We start from the raw sequence: 27,136 nt of genomic DNA, 5'->3' as shown, positions 1-27,136 counted from the left end.
ACTCTCAATATCATTTCAAATCCACAATGCTTCTCTGCCTTCCATGCCTTTAAACATGTTTTGGCACCTTTCTCTAATACTCATTACACTTCACATTTCATCTCCTCGGTGAAATCTTCCCTGAAGCATGTAATCCAGAAAGCTACTAACCTTGTGTTCCCAAAGTGGTCCACACATGTCCCAAATACTGTATTAAGTGGATAGTGTTATAATATGTTTCACATATTTATATCCTTGACTAGATAGAGCAACCTGTTGGGGACACAAAACTTACTTAATTCACTTTTGCATAAACAGTGCCTAGCACGGTGTGGTGATTGTGTAGCTATTCAAGAAAGCATTATTGAACATGTAAATAATCAATAAACAATGGATTTTGAGGTTAAGTTCTGATTGTTATTAATAAGGAACATTAAAATATGATAATGCTTTAGTAGCTATGGATATTGACTATAGAAAACATGATCAGATTTTGAATCATCTATTATGCTTTAAAAAATACACATACTAAGTCTGCCACTTCCCTTTAAAAACATTCACAGCAGATGAAGGGAGCTGGCACGTCATCACTTTAGCTTTATTCAGCAATGGCCATTCATCCACAGTTGCAAAACTCTTTTCAATATTTAGGAATTTTATCACTGAACAGGAGGAGTCTTTATAACTATTTTTCTTTACTATACTGTCACAAAATCTGTGCAGTCCATGAGAGCCCTGTAGTTAATGAACTGGAATCCCCTTTTCAGTGTTTGAGCATTCTTTCTTTTCCACCCTCCCTGCATAATTTTCTTCCTTTTGTTACAGAACAAGTCTGTACAGTAATCTGCACTTAATCTCCATATCTTATCTTCCCAATTCATCTTGTTGGATAGAATTCAACATCCTATAATTTTACCCTCCATTGAACTAGAATAATTTCTACATTTAGATTATTCAGAGCCATTAAGAGAACTTTGTTTTCCACCAGCATTTAATTCTACTATAATCCACTGTCAAATGCATTAAATAACAGCATCACAGACCTTTCAGGGGCAAAGACAAACTGGCAAGGAATAGAAAGTGTTTAGAAATACCTTTGTGAACCACTATAATAATCATGTCACTATTATGGGGCCATCATATGTATATTCTATTTTATGTGAAATCAAAATCAGTTGCTCAAATAACAGTCTTTGCTAAAGTACACAATGCTAGTTGAAGCCCCTTCTGAAAGACAGGCTACACAGAGCTGCTCAAGCTTCATGGCAGATATTTTCTATTTGATAAATGACAATCACAAATTTCGATGATTCAGAGGGCAATGAATAGCTACATCTTTCTTATAACTTAATTGGGATGTGAAGTAAACAACCTCCAAAGAGGGCTATGATCAGTAGTTTTCCTCCCTGTGGGTGCATGTCATTTCCCTGTGAAAACATGAACTTTACTTCTGTCTTCCAGACTTTCAGAGAACTGGCAATGTTTTCTCTCTTTTTGTTTAGAATACTTCTTGGCATCCAGATGCTATGCTGTGAGGCCCAAACAGCCACATAGATAAGCCCGCAAGGCCCCAGGCCCAGTGGCCCAGCAGAGCTTCCAGCCAGCAGCCAACTCTGACCATGCACGAGACCATTATACACCTTCCATTAATATCAGAGCCACAGTCAACATCATCTGATAGAGGACTGTTTGGTCAACCACCCAGTTACAAGAAATAAGAAGCGTTTTTATTTTATGCCACTAAGCTTTGAGATAGTTTGTTGTGCAGCAGAAAGTAACTGGAACAGAATTCTCTTATGCACTACATTTAGAATTAAACAGCTAGCTATTCTACAGAGAAATTAACGTAGCTTTAAAGAGAGTGCACCTGAAACCAGACTTCCTGGTTCAAATGCCAGTTCCATCACTAACCAGGTTCATGACTCTTGCTAAGCTACTTAGGTTCCATGAATCACACTTTTTTTTTTCCATTTAAAACATAAGAAACATAGTTAACAGCCATTTCTTTTAGAGTGGTTGCCAGGGTTATATGTGGGTAAAACAAGCAAGCATAATGCTTAGAATAGTGTGTTGCACATAGTAAATGTTTATACTAGATATCATCAGCTTCTGGATGAAGATCTTGATCATTTAGCTGCCATTCAAGGTCCTTTGTAATCTACTCCTTTTATTCTTTTGGTTTTTATCTTCCACCATTCTTCCACCAAACTAATCTATGTTCTAACCAATCAGAAAAAAAGTTGTGTTTCTGCTTCTTTAACATGACACTTTTTCCCTCTCTGTTCTCTTTTCCACATTCTACTCGTCCTTCAGTCACTAGACGATTTCCTCTTTACTAACAGTTTCCCGATAATCCCACAAACCATATATATTTTTTTATCAAGTATTTAATGAGCAGCTTCTGTGTGTCTGGGTTTGCAGATAGAATAGTATAGACGGTCAGATTCACTGTTCTGTCAAGGCATATAATCTAGTTTTTTGTTTTGTTTGTTTGTTTGTTTTGAGACGGAGTCTCGCTCTGACCCCCAGGCTGGAGTGCAGTGGCGCCATCTCTGCTCACTTCAAGCTCTGCCTCCTGGATTCACGCCATTCTCCTGCCTCAGCCTCCCGAGTAGCTGGGACTACAGGTGCCCGCCACCATGTCCAGCTAATTTTTTGTATTTTTAGTAGAGACCGGGTTTCACCGTGTTAGCCAGGATGGTCTCCATCTCCTGACCTTGTGATCCGCCTGCCTTGGCCTCCCAAAGTGCTGGGATTACAGGCGTGAGCCACAGTGCTCTGCCGACACTAGTTATTTTTTAAGCAACCTTGTCTACATTGGTCTTCCAAGTCACTACTTTTAATCATGACTCATTTTTGGAGATTTTGCCCCTTATTCTTTTTTCTGCATAATAAAGTAATTTATTGAATTCTGAAGATATTTAGCAAACATGTACTTATAACAAATTACAGCATATTTATAATAAGTAATTACAATGTACTTCCAAATACTTTATCTCAGGGTGTAATAAAAATCCCATTAACTTCAATACTATTTGCTCCATTTTGTAGACACAAACGGAGACAAGTAACTCAGATACGTTAAGCCTTATGTTACCAAGCTAGTGCCTAAGTAGAAATCAAATCAGGTTTCCTGTGTCTGAAGCCAATGATCTCTCTAATTCAGTTACTTATATCTGTGAGCCCATGTGTTACAAATCCTAAGGGAGAATTGTAAATAATTATAACACAAATCCCTAATCTTAAAGAGGGAGAGCTATTGTGATCAAGGTTAGAGGAAGTAGAAAGAATGAGAGTAGGAGCATGAGCCAGGTTTATAGAATATGAACTGTGTAATTTACTTTTCCCCCACTTAAAAAAAAAGCAAGCATAATTCTATGACATTTATATTTGTGAGAAACAAAAATGTTAGGCAAAATAGGAAACCCTGCTCATTCTTTTATCCTTAATACATATGTATTATTACACAGAATAGTTATTTGTGTATACACAAAACACTCAGGGTAAACTTCACATTTATTAAAAATAGGTTTTCCAGCATATTGGAATAAATCTTTCCCTCCTTGGGGGATCATCCTGAAAATACTCTTAATACCAATGAATGATTGATTATATAAATTCATATTGTGGTGGTTAAGAGTTCAGCCTTCAGAGTCACAGTGCTAGACAAGATTATTGGCAAATGCTCCGTTACTTTAAGGCTTACATTTATGCCTTCGTAGTTCTGAAAATGACCACGAATTCATTCTGCAAAAAGCAAAGAAAAACAGGTATTTATAATAACTTCACAAGGAGGAAATAAAACCAAGTAACATGGATATATACTTCCAGAAGAAAAGTACATAAAGAAGAACAGAGTATTGCATGTGTGTATGAGAGAAAAGAGGGAGAAAGAGAGGGGAGATGGAGAAAAAAAAAGAAGTCTCTAGTAAAGCAAATCTAGGCCAAAGTAGTCTTAATGTATCTTTACCAGACATTCAAGTAGTCCCCATGGAACAAGGGAATCCATAGGGTACTAGTTTCTCATTCCAGGACACCACCCACTTCTGTCTTAGAGGCTCTGACCCACTATCACTTTTGTCTTGTTATTTCCAGAGAACTATTACCATGAAGTCTAGGTATCCAAGAGAGACATCAAGGCTTGCAAGCCTTTGTACAGTCACAGCAGTTTCTTTTTTTGTTTTGTTTTGTTTTGTTTTATCGAAGAAAAAAGTCTGAAGTTAGAGTGTTCTATTCAGCCAGAGAGACCTAGGGAATTCTTGGCACAGTAAAATTTTACTCTGCTAATGAGGCAGGGATTTTCTGACAACCAAAGTATTTATTAAGCCAAGGAGGTTAGAGTTCTCCTCATACTTAAATCAGCACATTTATCTTTAGAGAAGAATAATAACTAGTCAGTAATGGCAAATAGATTGCTTGTAAATTTCCAATTCTGGTAGTGTCATTTACAGATGGATCACCTAAGGATTATTACTGTGGTCCATAGCAAAATTTTTCTGAATTCCTTGAAGATTTTCAGACTCTTACCTAAAAACTGATGCAATGCACTTTATATTTGAGATTTCAATTTTTTTCTTTTAAAAGTGTGTTAAGTTTATCTCTTCCTTAACTTTCAAATAAAGAGGTATTTAAATATCACATCTAAAGGAGGCAGCTAGGGAATACAGAGTTGGGCAAAATATAAAGATTGTTTTTAGTCGAAAAATCTAATGATTATAGGAAAGCATCAGAGAAAGTGGGAAAATTTTTAATGGGGGCAAGGAGGAGGTGGAATTGAGAAGTAAGGTCTTCCCAATGCCAATTAAGCTTTGGAATCAAAATCCATAGAGAATTCAGAGATGGAGAGAGACAATTGATATGAGGAGACAGTCTCTCTATATAGAACGTGTACACCATATTGGGTCCTTACTCTGCATAGCAAAAAGGGCACATACACACAGGTCAAGAAATGAAGTAAAGCAGCTCGAATTCCCCTCATACCAAGTGCATTGCAGCTCAGTTTCCTAATACCAGAATAATCAAGGTTGCTAACCCTCTTTCCCCTTCTTCTCCACCCTCTTCTTTTATTTGTCATGATCCCCAAGACTGAGGAATGTGCCTTTGACAAAACCACAAGCACACGTAGGTGTATGCACATTTATTACTAATTGTGACCAGGAATGCCAATTGTCTTTCATTACTTTTTTTCTTTCTCCTTAATAAAATAAACCCTACGGTGATGGTTAATTTTATGCATCAGCTTTACTGGTCATGGAGCGCCCATATTAAACAGTAATTCTGTACGTATCTGTGGGAAGGTTTCCAGATGAGATTTGAATTGGTGGACCCAGTAAAGTACGTTTTTCTCCTTCAATGCAGGCGAGCATCATCCAGTTCCTTGGGGCAAAAATAGAAAAAAAAGGCAGAGGGAAGAGGAATTCACTCTTTTTTGCTTCCTGCCTGCGTTCTGGAGCTGGAACACCTCATCTCATCTTTGCCCTGACTCGTATTCACACATTAGATCTCCTAGTTCTTAGGCCTTTGGACTTGGACTGAATTTTAGCACCAGCTTTCCTAGATCACCAGTTTGCAAAAGGTGGGCTGTGGGACTTCCTCACCCTGATAATCTCTCTCTCTGTCTCCCTTTCTCTATCTGGATAGAAATATAGATATAAATGTTTTATTGGCTCTGTTTCTCTGGGTAACTCTTATTAATAAATCCACATTATAGTTAAATCCATAACAATGAAGACAAAGACAAGATTCACCAGCCTCCCTTGCAGATAAATGTATTCATGTGACAGAGTTTGGTTTATGGAACATTCTGCTAGTTCTACTTCCGTGTCTCTTGATGCTTCTCTGTCCATTCCATGTCTGCTGGCCTTAGAATCCCGAGACATTTTTTTTTTTTCTAATATGGGCTTCTCCACTGACTATCTCTAATTTCCCTTTACACTAGTGCTTTCTGCTCATTTTCACTAATAAATAAATAAATCCCTCTTCAGAACTGTTAGAGTCATGGCACATTTCTGCTTTTCAAAGATGACTCCTTAGTGCATAGAGAATAAAACCCGAATCCCGTAACATAGAATTAAGGATGTTTCATAGTTCCAACTGGACCCTCCTTTCTTATATTTATTCTACAAAACCCTTGTTATTCCAGACACCCAAAGTCGCTTGCTATACAGAAAATAATTATTTTTCCCTACCCATCTTTTCTATCTTTCCTTGCTGAGCCGTGCTATTTATATGCTATTAGCTATTTATACGGCTATCACTCTGTTTTTTTTTTTTTTTTTTTTGAGATGGAGTCTTACTCTGTAGCCCAGGCTGGAGTGCAATGATGCAATCTCGGCTCAATGCAACCTCTGCCTCCCAGGTTCAAGCAATTCTTCTGTCTCAGCCTCCTGAGTAGGTGGAATTACAGGCACATGCTGACACACCCGGCTACTTTTTTGTATTTTAGTAGAGATGAGGTTTCACTGTGTTGCCCAGGCTAGTCTTGAACTCCTGAACTCAGGCAATACACCTGCCTTGGCCTCCCAAAGTGCTAGAATTACAGGCGTGAGCCACCATGCCTGACCACTGATCTTTTTAAAGCAGAAATTGATTATATGCACTGCAATGATTAAAAATCAATTGCGTCTCATAACACAATCCACATTCCTGAATATGGCTTACATGACCTGACTCCTACTTGCTTTCCTCATCTCTTCTCATACATAGTCCTCTCCCATCATCTGACAGCCAAATCCAACTTCTGGAATGGGTCATGTTCTTTCCTGACTCCAATTTGTCACATAAAGTTTCCCAATGCCAAAATATTCTTCCCTCCCCTGTTACCCTAGTCAGCTTATACTCATTTTTTCCATCGAATCTTTACTTATTTATATTTAATTGCAGAAGAATTAGTTGGCCCTCACGCTTCCATCTTAGTCATGTCCTCTGTAACAATATCTTGTTGTCGTCTTTAATTATACTTTATATCAGGAGCCAATACCTCTTTCCTATAAAAGGTCAGAGAAAAAATATGGTAGTCCCAGTAGGCCTTAGGTCTATATCAATGCTACTCAACTCTGTCATGGTAGCACAAATGCAGCCATAGAAAACAGACCAAAAAAAAAAAAAAGATGAATATTGCTGTGTATAAATGGACATAATTAAATTCTGCCTTATTCACATTTTAGGCTAGATAATTCTTTGGTGTGGTGGACCATCCAGTGTATTATAAGATGTTTTACATCATCCCTAGTATACCCACTAGTTGTCAGCTGCAACCCCAAATTATGACAATCAAAAATGCATACGGGTATTACCATATATCTCCTGAGGGGCTATATTGCCTCCAGTTGAGATCTAACAAAATATAATTTTGTTTACAAAAAAGGCTGCAGGTGGAAGCTAGTTAACCCCTGGTTTGTAGTAAAAATTGTAATTTATATTCACATTTTAACATTTTATTTATATGTATTTACACATGTAAGCAAACACTGGATGCTGCTCTCTATCTGTTTGACTCATCACAATATACTCATTGCTTATAACAAAGCAAGGGGTTCGGTAAGTATTTCATGAGTGAATGAGTGAATGAATGAAATCATTAACGTCTTTTCAGGAGAGTCACTAGGTCAAAAGTCAGTATTTGAGGCATTGAAACAGAGAATGTAGCATTTAGGGATTTAAGACAGAGTAAACCATAGCATATTCAAGGAGAACAACAATAGAAAGAAACAAATGAAAAAACATTACCAGATGGTAGAGAAGATCCAAGAAAGTAAAGAGTTCTTTTAATATGAAATAGATGTGAAAGTAGAAAGGAAAATGACAATAAGAAAATAAATAAATAAATAAATAAATAAATAAATAAATAAAAAGTTGTTAGCAGAAGGAAGTGGTGCATAAATGCCTAATGAAAGAAAACAGAATTTATTCTCAAGCTCAGGTTGCTCCAACACCCAAGACTAGTGGGTACATGTTTAAAATGAGTTTCAGACTATGCTTTCTTTTCCAAATCTGTAGTCTATTGACTATGAAAAAGCAAAATTGCCCTCAGGCTAGAAAGGTCTATTAATGCTTCCATCAAGAACAGTCCTCAGTTCGCAAGGCAAGCTGGAGAGTGAGAGAAAATCTGTATCAGGAGATAATGCATTTCTCATGCTTAGGACCCTTAGGCCAAGAAGTTTCTGTTGAAGCACTTCTCATAGAAAGAGTCAGGGTCACCTTAATGCTTGGAAATGTGGGAGGCAATGGTGTGTCTAGATTTGCCTGGAGCCTATGGGTTGTGTGAGCTACAGGCTTGTATGTTCTGTTCCTTATTTCATTCACCTACATAAATGTATTATATTTGACTCCATCTCTTCAAGCATCATTATATCTGGAAAATATAATCTGTTTTTTAAAAATTAAACTGCATAGCTGAGTATGCATAGGTATTTTTTCTTTAGTTATATGAACATTAACTATGACTATTAAAATGAAAATTAAAATAATTATTAAAATATCAGGATTTACACAGTAGTATTTCAATATTTTTTTGAATACACCTTTTATCCCAGTCCCTACTTTCCTGATGTATTCTGTTAAGGTTCATTCTCTTTCCCTATATTATATGTTGGTCCCTATTTTTTGTGGTTTGCTTTTGACAATATCGCAGGTTGGTACAATCGAAGGGAAAAATTGTTGTGGTGAGAATAATCAATAAAGAATTTGGAGGCAGAAATAATTATTCAAATAGCGATTCTATTTCTTTCTAAAGTTTTTAAGTCCTCTGCTATTCAGTTATCCATTTTGAGAGAGAGAGAAATCTAGTATAATTATTCCCTATATTGTTCTGTTTGACAAATATATCAATTCATCCTTCCATTCTGTCTCATAGTAGGATTACACTTCTAGAGACTCTTGTTGTCTAAGGTCATGTAACCTCGGCTGGTCAATGAATTTTGAACACAATGTGATATATCTCACTTTCAGTCAAAGCATTTTGTTGTTATGTAAAACCAATAAGAGCTCTCCTTTTTTTTCTCTATAACTATGATGAAATCATTTCTTATTTTCATAGTCCATTAATTCAGGATTTAGCATTGGCACGATAAGTATTAGTATACCACCTTACTCCCCAGTGTTGACTGTATTCCATTCTTGCGTTGCTATAAAGAAATACCTGAGGCGGGGCGCGGTGTTTCACGCCTGTAATCCCAGCATTTTGGGAGGCTGAGTCGGGCGGATCACGAGGTCAGGAGATCGAGACCATCCTGGCTAACATGGTGAAACCCCGTCTCTACTAAAAATACAAAAAATTATCAGGGCGCGGTGGCCGGCGCCTGTAGTCCCAGCTACTCCTGAGGCTGAGGCAGGAGAATGGCGTGAACCAGGAAGGCGGAGCTTGCAGTGAGCCGAGATCGCGCCACTGCACTCCAGCCTGGGCGACAGAGCGAGACTCCGTCTCAAAAAAAAAAAAAAAAGAAATACCTGAGATTAGTTAATTTATAAAGAAGAGGCTTAGTCAGCTCATTGTTCCATAAGCTGTAGAGGAAGCATAGCAGCTTCTGCTTCTAGGGAGAATGCAGGAAGCTGATAATCAGGGTGGCGGACAAAGGGAAAGCAGCCTTCCACAGGGCCAGAGCAAAAGGGAGAGACCGTGGAAGTGCTGCACGCTTTTAAACAACCAGATTTCGTGAAAACTCATGCACTATCATGAGAACAGCACCCCCAAGGGGGAAATCCACCCCCATGATCCAATTATCTCCCACCAGGCCCCACCTCCAACACTGGAGATTACAATTTGACATGAGATTTGAATGGCGACACAGATCTAAACCATTTTACATACCACATACAAAAAACTATGAGCCATTTTTCTTTTCGGCTGTTATTGCACCATAACCTAGCCTGTCCTGACTGTATACAAATTGCTTCAGGAAATGGAGCTCTGAAGTAATATCTTACCTCAAATATGCAGCATTGTCTTGAGAGTCAGGGCACAGCCCAATCATTGGAAGCCGGAAGGATGTTCATTGATGATACTGCAAACTTTTGGTAAAACATTAATCCATGATAACCTGAGACAGTGATAGCATAGAAGTAGCTTGTTATTTTATGGGAGAATTTGGAAAAAATAAACCCTTAATTGTAGATCTTTACTATTCCCTTCATTTTAAAAAGTAGTCTAAGAAAGATGCTCTCAAGAAAAAATAGCCCAGTTCACAAATATGATTAAAGGAGAACAAGAAGAGTCAAGAAATTGGGTTCTCATTGAGTAGGAAGAGGCAATATTTTTAAACTAGAAGACATGATAGAAAAATTTGGGAGAGGCTTTGAGTCACAAAGACTGATTAAAATTAAACCTTCTGGCAAGAAATTGATTTAGACGATACATGACTCAGGGAAAAGACCCTGAGGATATGACTTTTTCATGTATGACTGATAGACTCGTAGCACCTTGCACTTAATTCCTGAGACAGTGTCATAGATAAAAGAGAGCAGCAAAATACAGAAATTTTGTTAAAGAAATTTGGGTGTGGAGATTAGTATATAAAGTTAGTTAAGACCAAGTTGGTAATAAGCCAACTCTGTTTCTGCCAGAATATAACTACACAAAGAACCATCAACCTGAACCAAAAAAGACAGCAACAACATAAAATTAAAAGTAATCCTTCATATTAATTTGCTGTGCTGGAATACCAGGATGCAACAAAATCAGTGACTTAAATCACAAAAGTAATTGTCTTACACTTTTAGTAGAAATCCAAGACCAGAGAGTTGGAGGGTTGGTTCTTTCTGAGGGCTGTGAGGGAACAATTTGTCCTGGGGCCGTCTTGTTGACTTAAAGATGGCCATCTTCTCGCTACATCTCTTCACATCATCTTCTTTCTATGTGTAATTGTGTCCAACATTCTTTCTTTTATAAGGATCATTCTGGAGTAGTCCACCCTACTCCAGAATGATCACATCTTAACAAATTATGTCTTCAACAAGGTCTTTCCAAATAGGTCACATACAGAGGTACTGGGAATTATTTCAACCTATGAATTTTGGAAGAGACATAATTCAACTCATAACATTCTTGGTCTTCCAACATTTCACAGGCAGGAAGGAGGATAAAAAACCTGCTCATGCTGGCTAATACGGTGAAACCCTGTCTCTACTAAAATACAAAAAGTTAGCTGGGCATGGTGGCACGTGCCTGTAGTCCCAGCTACTCGGGAGACTCACTTTAACCTGGGAGGTGTAGGTTGCAGTGAGCAGAGATGGCGCCACTACACTCCAGCCTCGGTGACAGAGTGAGACTCCGTCTCAGAAAACAAACAACAACAACAACAAAAAAAAAAAACAAAATAACTGCTCAGCCCTTAATGAAGGCACGTTCTTTTGTTTTTCTCAGATATAGCCAGAGAATATAATGGATAAAGAAGTTCCTCTCAAAGGTTGGATAGGTCAACAAGATTCTGTGGTTGCTGCAACTGTTGAATTCTAAATGAGATTCCAGTTGTTACACAGGCACTTAATATCTTCTCTTCCAGAAAACAAACAAATAAACAAACAAACTAGTATGTTAGGAATGTTAACACCTCCTGCTCACATAGTTCTTAAGAAACCCACTATTAGGATAATGTGGCCATTGTGGGACAATCTAGCCCAAGTTGGGCAAATCAGTGGTCTTCTCTAGAAAGTTAAGAAGTGTTAATGAGGACGGGGCACGGTGGCTCACGCCTGTAATCCCAGCGCTGTGGGATGCCAAGGAGAGCAGATCACGAGGTAAGGAGTTTAAGACCAGCCTGGCCAACATGGTGAAACACAGTCTCTGCTAAAAACACACACACACACACACACACACACACACACACACAAATTAGCCAGGCGTGGTAGCCTGCACCTGTAATCCCAGCTACTTAGGAGGCTGAGGCAGGAGAATTGCTTGAACCTGGGAGGTGGAGGCTGCAGTGAGCTGAGATCACACCACTGCACTCCAGCCTGGGCGACAGAGCAAGACTATGTCTCAAAAAAAAAAAAAAAAAAAAAAAAGCATTAATGAGAAGCCCATGCTAGTTTTTCTCACGGCAGCAGTAGGTGAGCATATATACAATAGCATCTGATGATCTTGTTTAGACAAATGAACTGAGAAACAGAAAACGATGGCTGGTATAAAAGTGAAGTGTGCAGCAGAGAGAAGTGGAGGCCAAAAGCTCTGCTCCTCGGCTTCTGGTAGATCTGCATCTCTTTTGGAGTCCATTCCTGGCATTTATTTTCACCCTTAGATTTCTTGAGGTGCCACAGCATGTTTCTGATATATCTGCTCTTGTCTTATTGCCGTTGCTGCTATTCGGATACAGTCAGAGTTAGTTTTGGTTGCATGCAACCAAATGGAGACTATTCCATACAGAAACTATCACCCAGAAAGGAGTATTACCAAGGAAAGATACCAATATGGACTAATCAAATTGAGGGAGATTATAGGGTAGTGAAGTTTCCCCTGTTCTTCTGGAAAGATGAAAAAATCATTTGTAAGTATTACAATAATTGAATATAAAACTCAGAGGATCAAACCCATTGATATTAATGCTATGTCTTAGATCAGGCAGTGGCACCAAGAATTGTTTCTTACCTAGAATAGAGGTTGTGGCTGCTCTGGGGGAATAAACATAAGAGTAGTGGCTTTCTCAGCCTCCAGAATCACCATAGTCTGCAAATGTCCCCCTTCTCATCCAGAGCTCCCGGATGACTGTATTTGGTTTCTTCATGAAGACATGAAGGGTTCAGCAAACGTTGTAAAAATGTTTCACTTTGTTTTTTCCTGAAAATTCAAAATAAATTCTTGCTCTGGAGTGAGACGAACTCTGTACACTTGTTCCACTTTCTGTATTTCTGGCCACTGAACACAATGAGGTGCAAGGAGAATTATAGGATGCTTTGGAGACACGACTTTTTTATTTCTTCATAATTTCAGTATCTGTGAAATGGCTTTTGTGCTTTTTACCTTGTCAGGAGTCATGGTGCGTCTACCTGACTGCTTCATTTGCCACTGTAATGCCTTGTATGCAATTTTTTGTTTTTTGTCTGTTTGTTTGTGTGTTTATTTCAAATACCTTATATATATATAAAATGAAGTGTTTTAGTTCAGTGAGTATTTCTATACATTGGACGTAACTCTGAATTTGCTGTTAGTCTACTTCTTGCTGCACATATCTTCCCAAACTTCTGTGATGTTATGCACAGCCCTTCTGCTGTCTTTTCAATCAAGACATGTTCCTCTTTTCAAATATACTGACCAGCATTATTCTCAGCCACATCTTCACTGAAGAAGCTGTAGTTTTTAATCTGCAGACATCTCCAGTGTTTCAAAATTGAAAAGGAAAAACATAAGCTTTATAATAGTTACAGCTGATAATAAAATTCTTCCAGTATTTCCTCTCTTTGAAAATAAAGGGTTTTTCATAACATAATTGACTTTCATCAGTTCTGCAGTCTCTCTGGTGGCTGAGCTGTATGTCTTTAAAATTTGCCTCCAGGCTATCATGAAGAGGAAATGTTCTCAACACCACTCATGTTACGGGATATATGTATATATATGAATATGGATAGGGACATTTAAAATAATTATACTTTGAGATGGTATTTAAGACTATTTTCCACTTGAAAACTACTAAGATATTTTACATACCTTCAGGGTTTATAATTATGAGTTTTCAAATATAAATAGATATGTAGATAGATATATAGATTGATATAGATATCTCTCTCCTGCCTGCTACGAAGCTCATTTTCTTCCTGAAATAAAACATGTAATTTCACATTGTTTCTGAGTAAAATTATGTTCATTGCCATTACTTTATAAAAGATACGTCTATGGTTAAATGAAAATTACAATAGCTTTAATGAATTTCAAAATAGATATATATATATAGAAACTGTAAGTCTGAATTATAGAAAACCTAAGAGATAGTTGTTAAAACATATGTCAATATTTTACTGAAGACATAAATTACTCTAAATATCAGTGGTTTTAGCAACAAAGTTTTATGTGCTCCATCTGCATCATGGCTGTTATGGGTTGACTTCCAAGTCCCTCAAGCAGCCCGTGTCTCTAATAGTTACTGACAGTTTCTTAGATTTTTCTAGGCACAAAACCACATGGAGAAGAGAGCTCTTACATGAGTAATTAAATAGAATTGGTACTACTCTTTGGCCAGGACTAGTCATGTGACCACATTCAGCTACAACAGGTGCAGGGAAGTTTCTCTTTTTATGTGCTGGTAAGGTAAGGAGAACCATTTACCAGTGAATGTAATGAATTATTTACCCAAGGAAGAATACAATTTGGACTCAGAAGTCTTACATTTCAATTTCATTATCATCATTTGCTACCTAATTTACATTTAAAAAATCAAATAGTTTTGCTACTACTTCCACTTTTATAAAATGTGGATGCAGCATCTATTGCAATATTTTGATATCAAATGAAACCTGCTAATATGCAAGAATTATATGTAAGATATAAAATATTGCTTTTACAGAAAAATCCAGGAAAAGGAAGATCCATTTAAAATAAGCAGAAAAGAAATTAGATTATTTGGTTCATGTATCGAATATTAATTAGAAATTTATGCATCTAGAGAGGAGAAAATAGAAGAAATTAATTCATTTGAGTGTGTGGTAACACAGTCACACAAAATGCTTTCTCTGCCTATTGCATTATGATTATTGACATATCAATAATTTAGTTATTTTTCTGGATCTTCATCAATAGTGTTGCAGCAAAAAGGTACTTTTGCTCATCTAAATAAGAGGTCTCTTTTCACATATTTTAAGAATTTTTATTGATAGTTTATCAGTGAAATTTTGATTTTGATTTTTTATATTTGTATATTCGTGAGCTCACCAAATAGCATACTTTATGTTCTAATAGTTTATAGCTGATTTTTGTGGATTTTCTAGGTAGTAATTATGTCTATGAATAACAGTTCTAGGTTCTAATTTTCATTATTCAATATTTAGACTGCTTCATTTTGCATTGGGCCTTGTCTAATTTACTGGCTGCATCTTATGGTTAGGAAAGTTAAAAACGTGTTGGAATACTACCAACAAAGACTTAAAAAACTGTAGTTTAGGCAAACAGAATGTTTTATTATCTTGCAAAAAAATAAATCCAGAGGAAGACAGCTTGGGGATTAGTATAGAAGTAACATCATACCATAAAGCCTAACTCTTAACTCTTTACAGAGTTAAAAGAGTTTGAGAATTGGTTTTAAAAAAATATGCTGATTGACAACACTATAAATTGCCACCTATACACTGCTGACTCTCAAATGTGTGTCACTACATAGATCTCACCTCAGAGTGTCACAGAACAAAACACAACCACCAACATGACATTTATATTTAGATATGTAATAGGCATCTCAAAGTTGTCATGTCCAAAACTGACCCCCAGTGTGGCCCCTCCTTTGTCATGCTTTTTAAATTCTTTTCTTTATCTCAACTAACTGAAATTCTCTCTCTCTGAGCCAGAGCAGAAATCTAGTGTCCTAGTTTTTTCAGACTGCTATAAGAAAAATACCATAGATAGAGTGGCTTATAAACTAAAAATTTATTTATCACAGTTCTGGAGGCTGGAAAGTCCAAATCAGGGTGCTAGCTTGGTCAGTTGTGGTGTGGGTACTCTTTGGGATTGCAGATCACTGCTGTCTTGCTGTTTCCTCACATGACATAAGAAGCGCTAGAGAGCTATCTGGGGTCCCTTTTATAACAAGGACATAAATCCTATTCATGAGAGTCACTCTCATAACCTAATTACCTCCAAAGGCCTGACTCCATAGCCTCTTCACATTAGAGGTTAAGATTTCAATGTATAAATTTGGAGGGAACATAAACATTCAGTCCATAGCCCTTGGGGATGTACATGACTAGAGGGCTTCTCTCTTACCACGTGATATCAGACCTTGCAGAAAATCTTCAGGATGACCCTTCATTATATATTCAGAATTTGACTACCTCTCATGAGTCCAACTATACCACCCAGATCCACAAAGCTCAATCAAATTTCATTTGGATTGTTTCCATACTATATTCCTAACTAGTTTTCCAATGTATGCCTTTGCCCTTACCCTCACAACAGCAACCAGAAAAAATCATATTGATACCCAAGTCCAATAAAGCCACTTTTATGCTCAATTCCCTTTTCACTCCACTCAACAACTTTTCATCCCACTCAAACTTGGGGATTAAAAAAATAATTATTATTATAAAAGTCAATATCTTACTATGACCTACAAGACCTTCCAAAATCTTACATCTGCAACCCTTTGACTTTATTTCTCTCACTCTCCCCCAAGTTTCTCTGTTCAGATACGCAGTCCTCCTTAAACTTTCTCAAATGTGCCAGCCCTCCTTGTCTCAGGCCCTTTGCCCCCGTTCTTCCCTCTTCCTGAAAGGCTCTGGCCCTTAATATCACTATGCTTCCTTCCACCTGGCTGCAGGCCCGTTCTCAAAGTCATTCTTCAGTGAGGCTTTCCTGGCAAACCTATCTAAAATCCACTCTACTTTCTCTGAAAAAAATTTATTATTTTTTGTCATTGCTTTATAGGTTCTATGTAGCACCTATCATCCTCTAACATACTACGTATTTTTTAATAATTTTTTCATTTCCATCTCTCATCAATATAATGTAGTTTCATGTAGCTAAGGATCGTTGTCTGTTTTCTCCACTGAGGAATCTCCCACATCTGGAATAATATAGTACCTAGTAATAAAATGTTACTATTAGACTGTTACCTACTACGTCTACCAAAAGTATTTATTGAGAGAATGAGTGCATGAATAAATGAATGAATGTGTATTTATTTTATCTTACCTTTCTGTTGTCTATGGTTTCAGAGTGAGCACTAAAGGCTCAGCTAGCACCTCTACATGCAATGCAAAAGAAGAAATAAAGGGGCCAGGCATGGTGGCTCACGCGTGTAATCCTAACACATTGGGAGGCCGAGGTGGATGGATCACTCGAGATGGGGAGTTCGAGACCAGCCTGGCCAACATGGAGAAACGCTGTCTCTACCAAAAATACAAAAATTACCCGGGCATGGTAGCACATACTTGTAGTACCAGCTACATGGGAGGTTGAGGCAGCAGAATTGCTTGAATCCGTGAGGCAGAGGTTCAGTGAGCGGAGATTGCAACACTGCACTCCAGCTTGGTCAATAGAGCAAGACTGTCTCCAAAAAAAAAAAAAAAAAAAGAACAAAAGATTGCCTAGTGTTACTTTGCCTAGTGTTAATGCTAATTAAACCTCTTTCAGTAATTTTCCCAAACCCTCATATAATTTCTGATGAATCACAATGTATTTAAATATCTATATAAAACTTATTGGTATATGAATGTTCTTTCATGGAGCCCTGTTTAGACTTAAAATCAGAGTTCAGCCAACTTTCTCTGGGCATAAAAGTTGTATATTCCTTAAGTAGTCTTTCTACCAAAGCTATGACAAAAATTAATTCCTAAGCTGTATGCTGAAATCAATCAACATAGGTTATCTTTTAAGACAGAAGTAAATGATTTAATTAGAACAAAGTTGTTTTTTTATCAGTAGAAAGAAACTTTAACACAAAGTTGTATTCAGTTTTATTGAAATACGCATTATATTTTTTATCTCTTTGTGATAATGACTTCTATGTTTCTAACTCATTCTAACTCACTAAACACTGTTTTTAGTGAACATTGATATGGTTCACAGAGCTTGCCAAACACTGAGCCAAAATCTACTGATCTACTCAGATATTATTATCCCAAAGACAGTGAAATCTTAAGCAACTTCTTCCCAGTAGCACGTAAATATTGTCATGTGTACCATGAGTCAAAAAGAGTTGGAAAAGCATGGGACTAAGTATTTTCTTTGGATTTATAACCACCAATAATCTCAGTAGGTAGTTCCTCTCAAATAATTTAACAACTAGCAGGGAATGGAATAAAACAAAGTACAGTAATTGAAACCCAAATTTAAATATTAATTAAACCTCTACGAAGCTTAGCAGTTACAGGTTGAAAGAATTATAAAGGAAAATTGTAAAGAATTATAAAAGAATTACCTTAATTCTCATACATATAAAAACATTGACAGACAATATTAATAATTCATTCACAGCTCATTGTGTGGCTATTTGACAGTCCTAGAGGGAAGTATCAGTGTGTCTACTGGATAGTTGTGTTATTTATAAATTAAATATACTCTGAAGTGAAAAGTAGCTTGTTCTCAGGAAGAACTATCGATGGCAATAGCAATGGTAATTCCAGGCCTCATTAAGTATCAGGCTTCACAAACTCACCTCTGCGATAGTGGATATTTGCTCAGTTCTTTTCATACAACAGATTCATCACAAATGTTACATTCCTCAGACTCTTGTTACTGCCTATTAAACTGACCACTTCTCTGATATGTGTCTTCAAATCATGTTCCCTTTTGTAACATTTCAGTGTGGTCTTAAAAACACATTCTCATTTAACCAGTGCATTCCAGGTGTGTTGAAGAGTAATATTTGCTTACTTTCCAGTCAAGAGCTCCTGAGATTTAAAGCTACACAATATTTGAGCAAAGTGCTTTTCCTATATAATATCTCATTTGATGCTTATCAGAACTAAGGAAATTAGGAAACACATATAACTTCATTCTGGTTTTCCAGATTAGAATGATGAGATAGTCTTCTTCTTTCTCCCCACCATTCATCTTAGCAAGTTCAAGAAACGGTTGTTTGATAGCCTCTGGAATTCAAACTCATTTCCAACACTTACTGATTCTGGAATTGATCCCATTGCTAAAAATCTCTGAGCCTGTGTTTTCTTATCTGCCCAGTAATATTAAAAAGAAAAATCATTTACCTCATAGGGCTGTTGTGAGTATCACGTAAAATAATTCCCATAAATCTTTTAGAGTATGGTGAAACACTCACGGGGTGAAAAGAGTATTACTTTTTTTCCCACACATTATAAGGGTCACAGTCAACACTTCTATATTGAAAGACAGAACAATAAGAGAAAAGCATAACAAATTTAATTAAGTTTACATGATGAGAGACTTCACATTAAAGATGCAAAGATACAGAAGAAACTATTTGATATTATACTTAGGTTTGATGAAGCAGTGTCAGCCTTGTAGAGATGTGATTGGACAAAAAGTGTATGAGCTAATGGAAATAGATTGATCGGGGAAAGCTAGAAAGGCCTCTCTGTTCAGATTCTTCTTGACCTCTCTGTGCAGCATTAATTTCTACGGGGTATGTCAGATGACCCTTTCTGGAACAGGGGTCTTATGACCCTACTATCGGACACAGTAGGTCAGAGAATTTCTTTATGGCCAGTTCTTACACAAACATGTGGAAGGAAGTTAGAGTAATATTTTTAGGTTTTATGGCTGACTTTGGAGAAATGGAGTTCTAGTTTCTCTGACCTGCCTTGGAGAACAGGGAATCTAGTTTCTGGTGGTTAACCTCTGGGGGAGAATGAGGCTGAAAGAAAGGGGGTCAGAAGAAGTTCGGGTATCATTTTCTGAGCTGCAACATAAGCAATACATACATGTTAGTAGACATTACGGATATTACCAGAATTTCTAAAATGTTTCCTCAAATTTCAATGGCCTAATACTTCTTCAACTGCTCAAATCATTTATATGATCCCCTTCTTCCCCTCCAAATCCCTTTTAACCAATGGATTTTTATTTAGATGTGTTAATAAGTCAAAGCCCTGCTCCCTCTCAGAAGTTATTCTGTTACATCAAGAAGAATTTGCATCTGACTGATCTAATGCATTATTAGGTTGTTAGTTTCTCTCTCAGAACAATCTCATTTTTAGGATGACTGGAGCATCAAATCATTCTTATGTTAAGCTGCTTCCAACCCACACACCATTTATTGCCCATAAGACAGAAAAATAATATTTAGGTATAAAGTGGGATTTGAAAGATAGGTCGGAGGTTAGAGTAGAACAATCCAAAGTGGATTATAATGAGTCAATTCATGACAGAACAAAGAAGACAGGCTGGGATCATTAGATGCAAGAGAAGCGCTAATTCAGTTAGGTGTAAAGATGTAGACAGTTCTGACTCATTTCATATCATGTATCAATTTGACAACCAGATAAACCTTATCCAAACTGAATCCAATCACAGGGTCTTAGGAGATTTACCCGTTCCTAATTAGTGAAAATAGCAGAGAAATATCATGTCCCTAATGCCCCCAGGAAAAAGAAAAAAATGCAATTTGTTAATTGTCAACTGCCAGACTGCTCTCCTTATGTGTCAGTCATGACAAGGAGGGTAGCTGTGGTCACTAATTTGATTCTTTAGTACAAGAGAAGAGAGGAAGTAAGTAAAAATATTTCCTCTGGTGGCTGTTACAATTCCACAGACATCCAGAACAATTCCTGTGAACAAACTCAAATGATTTCACATTGAAAATTTACAGCTGGATCAAGGAACAAGATTACATTTGTGCTTTCAATGTCACCAAAGGTGCTAGAGCAATGAAATGAAAGTTGCCGTATGCATGACCTACTTATGATACCCCACACTAAGTCTGTACTTCATAAATCTACCTGGAAGTTTATGTAGAAATGGCCTAACGTAACAGTGCAATTAGGAAGAAGGAATACTTACGTAAAGTTGTTTCTTTTCAATAATAGAGGAAAAACAAATCCTTTCAGTTTACTAAACCCGCGGTCAGACCCTATTCAAATGTTCAAAATGTTTCCAGAAAATGACAAACAAGTTAGTTCCGGGCTTGCAGATAAAATATTTAAATCAGTGTGCTTCTAAATCCATGCCCATCAACCTCAGTTGTACCTCCAACACTGCTTCCAGTCTGATTACATTTTCCTAGTAGGTTCTGGCCCATTGACCACACCAACAATTTCAAACCTTTTCTACAGTTCACCTCCAAACACTGACTCATTTTCTCCTCCAGCTCCCAGCAGATAATCATGTCTCATAATTCACAGAAAAAAAAAAATGAAGTTGTTAGCTTACCACCTCTTCAACTTTTGGCTACTAACTTATGAACTTACTTAAATCTGTCTCATATCTAGATGTTTCTTATAATTTAAACATGCTTTAGTTTCTCCCATGTAAAATGAAATTAAATAGAAACCATGCTGAACTCTTTATGCTCCTACAACTGTTGCTAACTGCTACAACTGTATATATTTGCTAATTTTACTTTCTGAAGTTTTATTTACTCTTTAAAATGCTCTACTCTGGTTTCAGCCCTTATCATGTAGGGCAACTACTAGCTCTTATTTTGTTCTGGTATGGTGGCTAGAGGTGCTCTGTGGACTAATTCGTCAGTGGAAACAACCATAATAGATGAAAACCACAAAATGGAAAAAAAAAAACCCAAACAAACAAAACAATCATTTAAAGTATATTTAAGTAAATTACCATAAGGACATACAACAAATGGAGAAATCATCACTCATGATAATTTACTAAACCTCAGAATTAATAAAAGTTTGGGACATTTGACCATAATCCAATTTCTATTATTCCCTTACATCAATTAGATGGAAGCTCTACTATGAAAGGGTTCACCCAACAAACCAGAGGTCTCTCTCCACAGAAAGTCCAATCTAGGGCTATAGTTTCTCACTGAAAAGGACAGATCCCCAGTATTTATCCCACCCTTGCCTTCCCACCAACTCACCTAAAAATATTGCCAAAAAATAGCAAATCTCCTCAAATTAATCTACACATTCAACTCAAGCCCTATCAAAATCTCAACTGGCATTTTTCCAGAAATTGTCAAGTTATATTAAAACTCATATAGAAATGCAAGGAACCAAGAACAGCCAAAAGAATCTTTAAAAAAGAACAAAGATAGAGGAATAATACTTCCCAATTTCAAAACATATTACAAAGCTACAGTAATCAAGAATGTATGGTACTGGCAGAAGGATAGACATAGACAAATGGACAGAATTGAGAGTCTAGAAATAAACCCTTATACTTTTGGTTAACTGATTTCCAACAAGGACACCATGGACATTTTACATACACCACACACAAAAATTAACTCAAAATGAACAATATAAGTAATGCACAAATAAAAACTATAAAACTCTTATATGAAATCATAGAAGTAAATTTTGACTGGGGTTAATCAGAGCTTACTAGATACAATACTAAAAGTACCAAAGAAAACTTTAAAAATAGACAAAATGGACTTAATAAAAATAAAAATCTCAACTTTTACATGGCAAACAATACCATCAATAACTTAACACACAAAGCAAATAATGGGATAATGTATTTTCAAATACTATATCCAACAAGGAATTATATCCAAAATATATAAAGAACTCTTACGATTCAATAATAAAGCTATAATGTAAAAATAGGTAAAGAATTTAATTAATATAATGTAAAAATAGGTAAAGAATGTCCTTATAAATTTCTCAAAATAAAGTATATAAATGACCAATAACACAAACACACACACAGAAATGTTCAATACTATTATCCAGTAGAGCTATGTAAATCTGAACAACAACTAGAATCCACTCACACACACTTGAATGGATATAATCAAAAAAGACAGATAACTGAAGTCAAAGATATAGAGAAATTGGACCCCAGTATATTCCTGCTGAGGATGTGAAATGGTGCAGTCGCACAAAAAAAAAAAAAACAGTTTAGTAACCGTTTCTTCAATGTGTCAAACATACAGTTGCCATTTGACCTAGCAATTTCATTAATACATACATATTCAAGAGAAATGGTAACATAGTCCACACAAAAGCTTGTACGCTAATGTTCAGAGCAGTATTATTCATAATATCTAAAACTCAAATGCCCATTAACTGAATAATGGATATATGAAATAACTAAAATGTGATGTAGGCTTACAATGGAGTATTAATCAGTAATAAAATAAGGGAAGTATAAATGCACAACTACAACATGGATGAGCCTTGAAAACAGTAGGCAAAGTTAAAGAAGGCAGTCTAATATCCTGTATAGTGTATGATTCCACACATATAAAATATCTGGAAAAGGCAAATCTATAGAGACATAAATTGATGGTTTTCCAAGTGTTAGGGGGAAATAGAGTGAGGAATTATTGGTAAAGAGGTATGCGGCTTCTTTATGGAGAAATAAAATGTTCTAAAATTGATTGTGATAATGGAGATTTATCTATCTTTATGAGTATATACAAAGACACTGAATTCTACTTTAAGGAAGAAAATTTTATAGTGCATAGTATGCACATTATATCTTAGTAAAGATGAAAAAACATATTTTCCAGAAATATGATTCCAAAAAATATGATCATGTAACTTCTATAGGTCATTGTTCTACCTTCCTCTCTTTCCATATACTATGTTAAACATAGATAAAATAGAAAAAAGTAGGAATACTAGTAAGAATAAAACATTAGAGAATATGAACTTATGATAAATTAAAAAAGAGATATAAGAAATTAGATACAGGAGAAAGGCAGTTGTCTGCAACTGAAAACAGAGCTACTTAACTGTCATTAATTAATTACCAAAAAGATCATTATCAATACTATATCTGATGTTTTTCCTCCACCCCCAAAATTGAGAATGTTCTTGGAAAGTGCTTATGAAATATTGATCATAGGTTGTTTTTCTTGTTTTGTTAGATAACTTGCTGATAACTGTCTTGCTAACTACTCAGAATGTCTTTCTCACCTAGAAGCCCCAGAATTTTCTGGATGGGCTCCCTCAACCAAGCTAGCAGATTTTGTCACATCTCCTGTACTAACACTTGGGGAATCTAATGATGGCATTATGTTGGTATCAAATAAGCGATGTTCTCATGAAGATGAGATAATGGACTTAGTCCTTAATACACAGCTTCATTGAAACAAGTTACACTAAAATATCCAAAGTTTCTTTTGTACTAAATCAAATGAGCCCTTTTAATTCCTTTCCTTTTTTATTTTTCCCGCCCACGAGAATTCAATACACTTACTATTTTCTACCTGAGGCATTTTTTTTCCTAATCCTTGTTGCAATTTCTGATGGAAATTATGAAAATATTTACCTGTATTCTTGTATTTGTGTCCCATAAACTTGGGTGATGGAAAATAAAAAAAAGATTGTGACTTTGACAGAGACTCCAAAACTGATAGCTACTTTTGGATTCCGTGAGATTACCCAGGTTTTCTCTTTCATCTTGTACTCTCCTTTTCCATCTCTTTTGCTTGTTTCTTGTAATCCTCAAACAAATTTTTAAATATCAGAAATGACAGGGACTCAAATTTAGGCTTTCATTGTTTGCAACCATGCAATTATCCTGAATGTTACCCTACCCAGTACTTTGGTTTCAATTATAATCTATATGTTATTTCCAAATTTAAAATTTAGTTCATCACTTTTTCTTGAGATCTGGAGTTGCATATCCACTTTTCTATTCAGAACCTTCATATCACTGTCTCAAAACATCTGGAAACAAATATTTCAAACATTAAAATATTTGAAATTATTTCTTCCCCTCTGCTGAACTAACCAAAATTATTAAATTGAGAGAAAATTTTCCTTCTTTTTCAGTGTTCACATGCAATAAATCATCAAGCCCTCATCATTCTGTCTCCTAAATAGGTGTTGAATATCCTCATTCCTCATCTTTACCACTATTTTCTTAGGCTAGTAGGTCACCATGATATTTACTTGATCTAAGAAAAGCCTTTCTATCTCTTCTCTGCTCCTGAGTCACTTCTCACCGACGGTCCTTGTGATCCTTAAAGTAAACCCTGTCTCTTGTCTTCAGAGAAATACTTGAAGTTCTTAACATGTCTTACAAGATTCTTTGTGATGTGGCTTCAAGCATATCTATTTAGGGTCTTTCAACATTCTACTTAACACGTTAGCCATATACTGCTCTTTTTCTTTATTTTGTCATGATTTCTCTCTCAACTTCAGGGTTCTTTGATATTGTTATTTAGTTGTTGTTATTAAAAATTAATATTTCTTTCTGGAGTTCTTTTTGTTTTGTTTTGTTTTGAGACGGAGTTTTGCTCTTGTTGCCCGGGCTAGAGTGCAATGGTGCGATCGCGGCTCACCTCAACCTCCACTTCCCGGGTTCAAACATTTCTCCTGCCTCAGCCTTCAGAGTAGCTGGGATTACAGGCATACGCCACCACGCCCAGCTAGTTTTATTTGTATTTTTAGTAGAGATGGGGTTTCTCCATGTTGGTCAGGCTGATCTTGAACTCCTGACCTCAGATGATCTGCCCGCCTAGGTCTCCCAAAGTGCTGGGATTACAGGCGTGAGACACCGCACCCGGCTCTGGAGTTCTCTTTCTTTTCCTCCTTTCACAACTCCTAATTATCTTTTAGTTGTTAAGTGTAATTTTCTTCTAGAAATATCCATGAAAGCTCTATGCTAAGTCAAATATTTTTACTAGATATTCCCAGAACATCATAAACTTCCTGCAATACAAAATTATTATGTTTTAAGATTAGTTCCTATTTATTTGCCTGTTCTCTGTACATGAAAAAAGATTCTTCATAAAAAGATTTTGCAAATAAGATTTCTCAAATGTCTTCAGAGGTTATATCTTCGTGAATATATTTTCAAATTTCCGTTGAAGTTTTTAAAAATATTTTTAGTATCTTGTCATAGTGGTTAGATTCAGTAAAATCCTAAAAAGAAAAATAAGTTGAATAAATGAGTGAATTAACTCAGAAAAGACCCCTTGCAATTTAGTACCAGATTATGGAGAACTCTAGAAAGGAGTCCTCTATGTTTATAAATATGTCCATCTAACAATTTAATATTCACTGTCATATTCCGTTTCAAAAACACTTATTGTTCTAGGAGATATAAAGGATTATATATATAATATGATACTTGATTTGGTATTAGGCATTCTGTCAATTCCCAGTATCTACCATTTATTTTCAAGAAAAGAGTTACCCAGAGTGCCTATAAAAATGAGATTTTCAGCTAGCTTCTCATGACGTTAGATGTCCAAGACAGCTGGCCAGACATCCTAAAAGGAGTAAAGAAATAAATTATCACAAGAGAAGTGGAATTAAAGTCCATTTCAGCTATAATGGCAGGAAATTTATATGACATTTATTTTAATACACTTGATAAGTGTAATGTTTGGTAGAATTTGTGGTATTCCAGTTTATAATCTCTCAAATGTCTATCAAAAAGCTATAGTTGCATTTAGATTTAAATTTTAACAATAATATGTAGCCATTAAATATTTTTAAATTATGTGTCATTAGTTCACCAATACTCTTAACATTATCCTGATTTTTAAAATTATATCTGTAGGATAGATTGTTATAAATAACTATTAATAAATAACAAAAACAACATATAAAAGAGAATCAGTGTCCAAAGACAATCAGTGTCAGAAAAAGAAAAAACAGAATCTATTGCTTTCATAAAGTATTTTTAAATGTGTGTGTGTGTGTGTGTGTGTGTGTGTGTGTGTGTGTGTAGAAACCTTTAATCTACAAGAGCTTCTTAGCTTCAAAGTTAGGGTATAGGTTAGGCCCACAATATGTTGGGTTAAACAAAAATCTCCCATTGAATAAAACTCAACTCATATCCTCATTTATCTACAAGAGGTGCTGGAAAATATAGAACCTCACTGAATGGCTTTGGACCCAGTTGAAATTCAAAAATTTATTGACAATTTTGGCACCTAGAATTGTTATTACATAGCACTTATTATAGTTTATACTTTTATATGTGTAATTATTTGTTTATTGTATGTTTCTCCAATTAGATTTTAAGCTCTTATAGATTTTGTCTGTTCTTCTTATCATTGTAGAAGGTATCACAAAAATTGTACTGCAGATTAAAATCTCACTAAAAATTTTGAGACATAGAAGATTTCCAAAGTCTAACATAGTAACTGAACCACAGCCAGTCATGAGTAGACATTTATTTAATAAATGAATAAATAAATGTATTTAAACATGGAAGGCATTTAGTTTATCTTACCGGATATAAATGCTGATGAACCCTCAACCTCGTTCACTATTTTTAAAGCTAGTAAAAAAAGGTAAATTAAAATCATAGTCAACAGAATGTTCAAGAGTGGGACTTCACATATGATAAAAAGTTGCTCACAGTATTGCCAAACAAGGAATCATTAAGTAGCATGCGAAACCCTGCATTCTTTCCAATGGTGCTCTAAAATATTCTCCACGTGTATCC

At 36.0% G+C, this 27,136-nt stretch overlaps 1 annotated feature.

Annotated features, from left to right (window-relative positions):
• Nucleotides 4,712-5,911: an enhancer, noted in NCBI's record as "P300/CBP strongly-dependent group 1 enhancer chr4:28922847-28924046 (GRCh37/hg19 assembly coordinates)". NCBI's record gives its function as "activates an origin of replication core promoter dependent on BRD2, BRD4, P300/CBP, MED14 and CDK7 cofactors, with strong dependence on P300/CBP, by STARR-seq in HCT116 cells {active_cell/tissue: HCT116}" and the evidence as "EXISTENCE:reporter gene assay evidence [ECO:0000049][PMID:35650434]".

This window comes from Homo sapiens, chromosome 4 (assembly GCF_000001405.40).
Source record: "Homo sapiens chromosome 4, GRCh38.p14 Primary Assembly".
Taxonomy (NCBI): domain Eukaryota; kingdom Metazoa; phylum Chordata; class Mammalia; order Primates; family Hominidae; genus Homo; species Homo sapiens.
The sequence above is the reverse complement of the archived record's forward strand: the minus strand, read 5'-3'. Positions and strand labels throughout refer to the sequence as shown.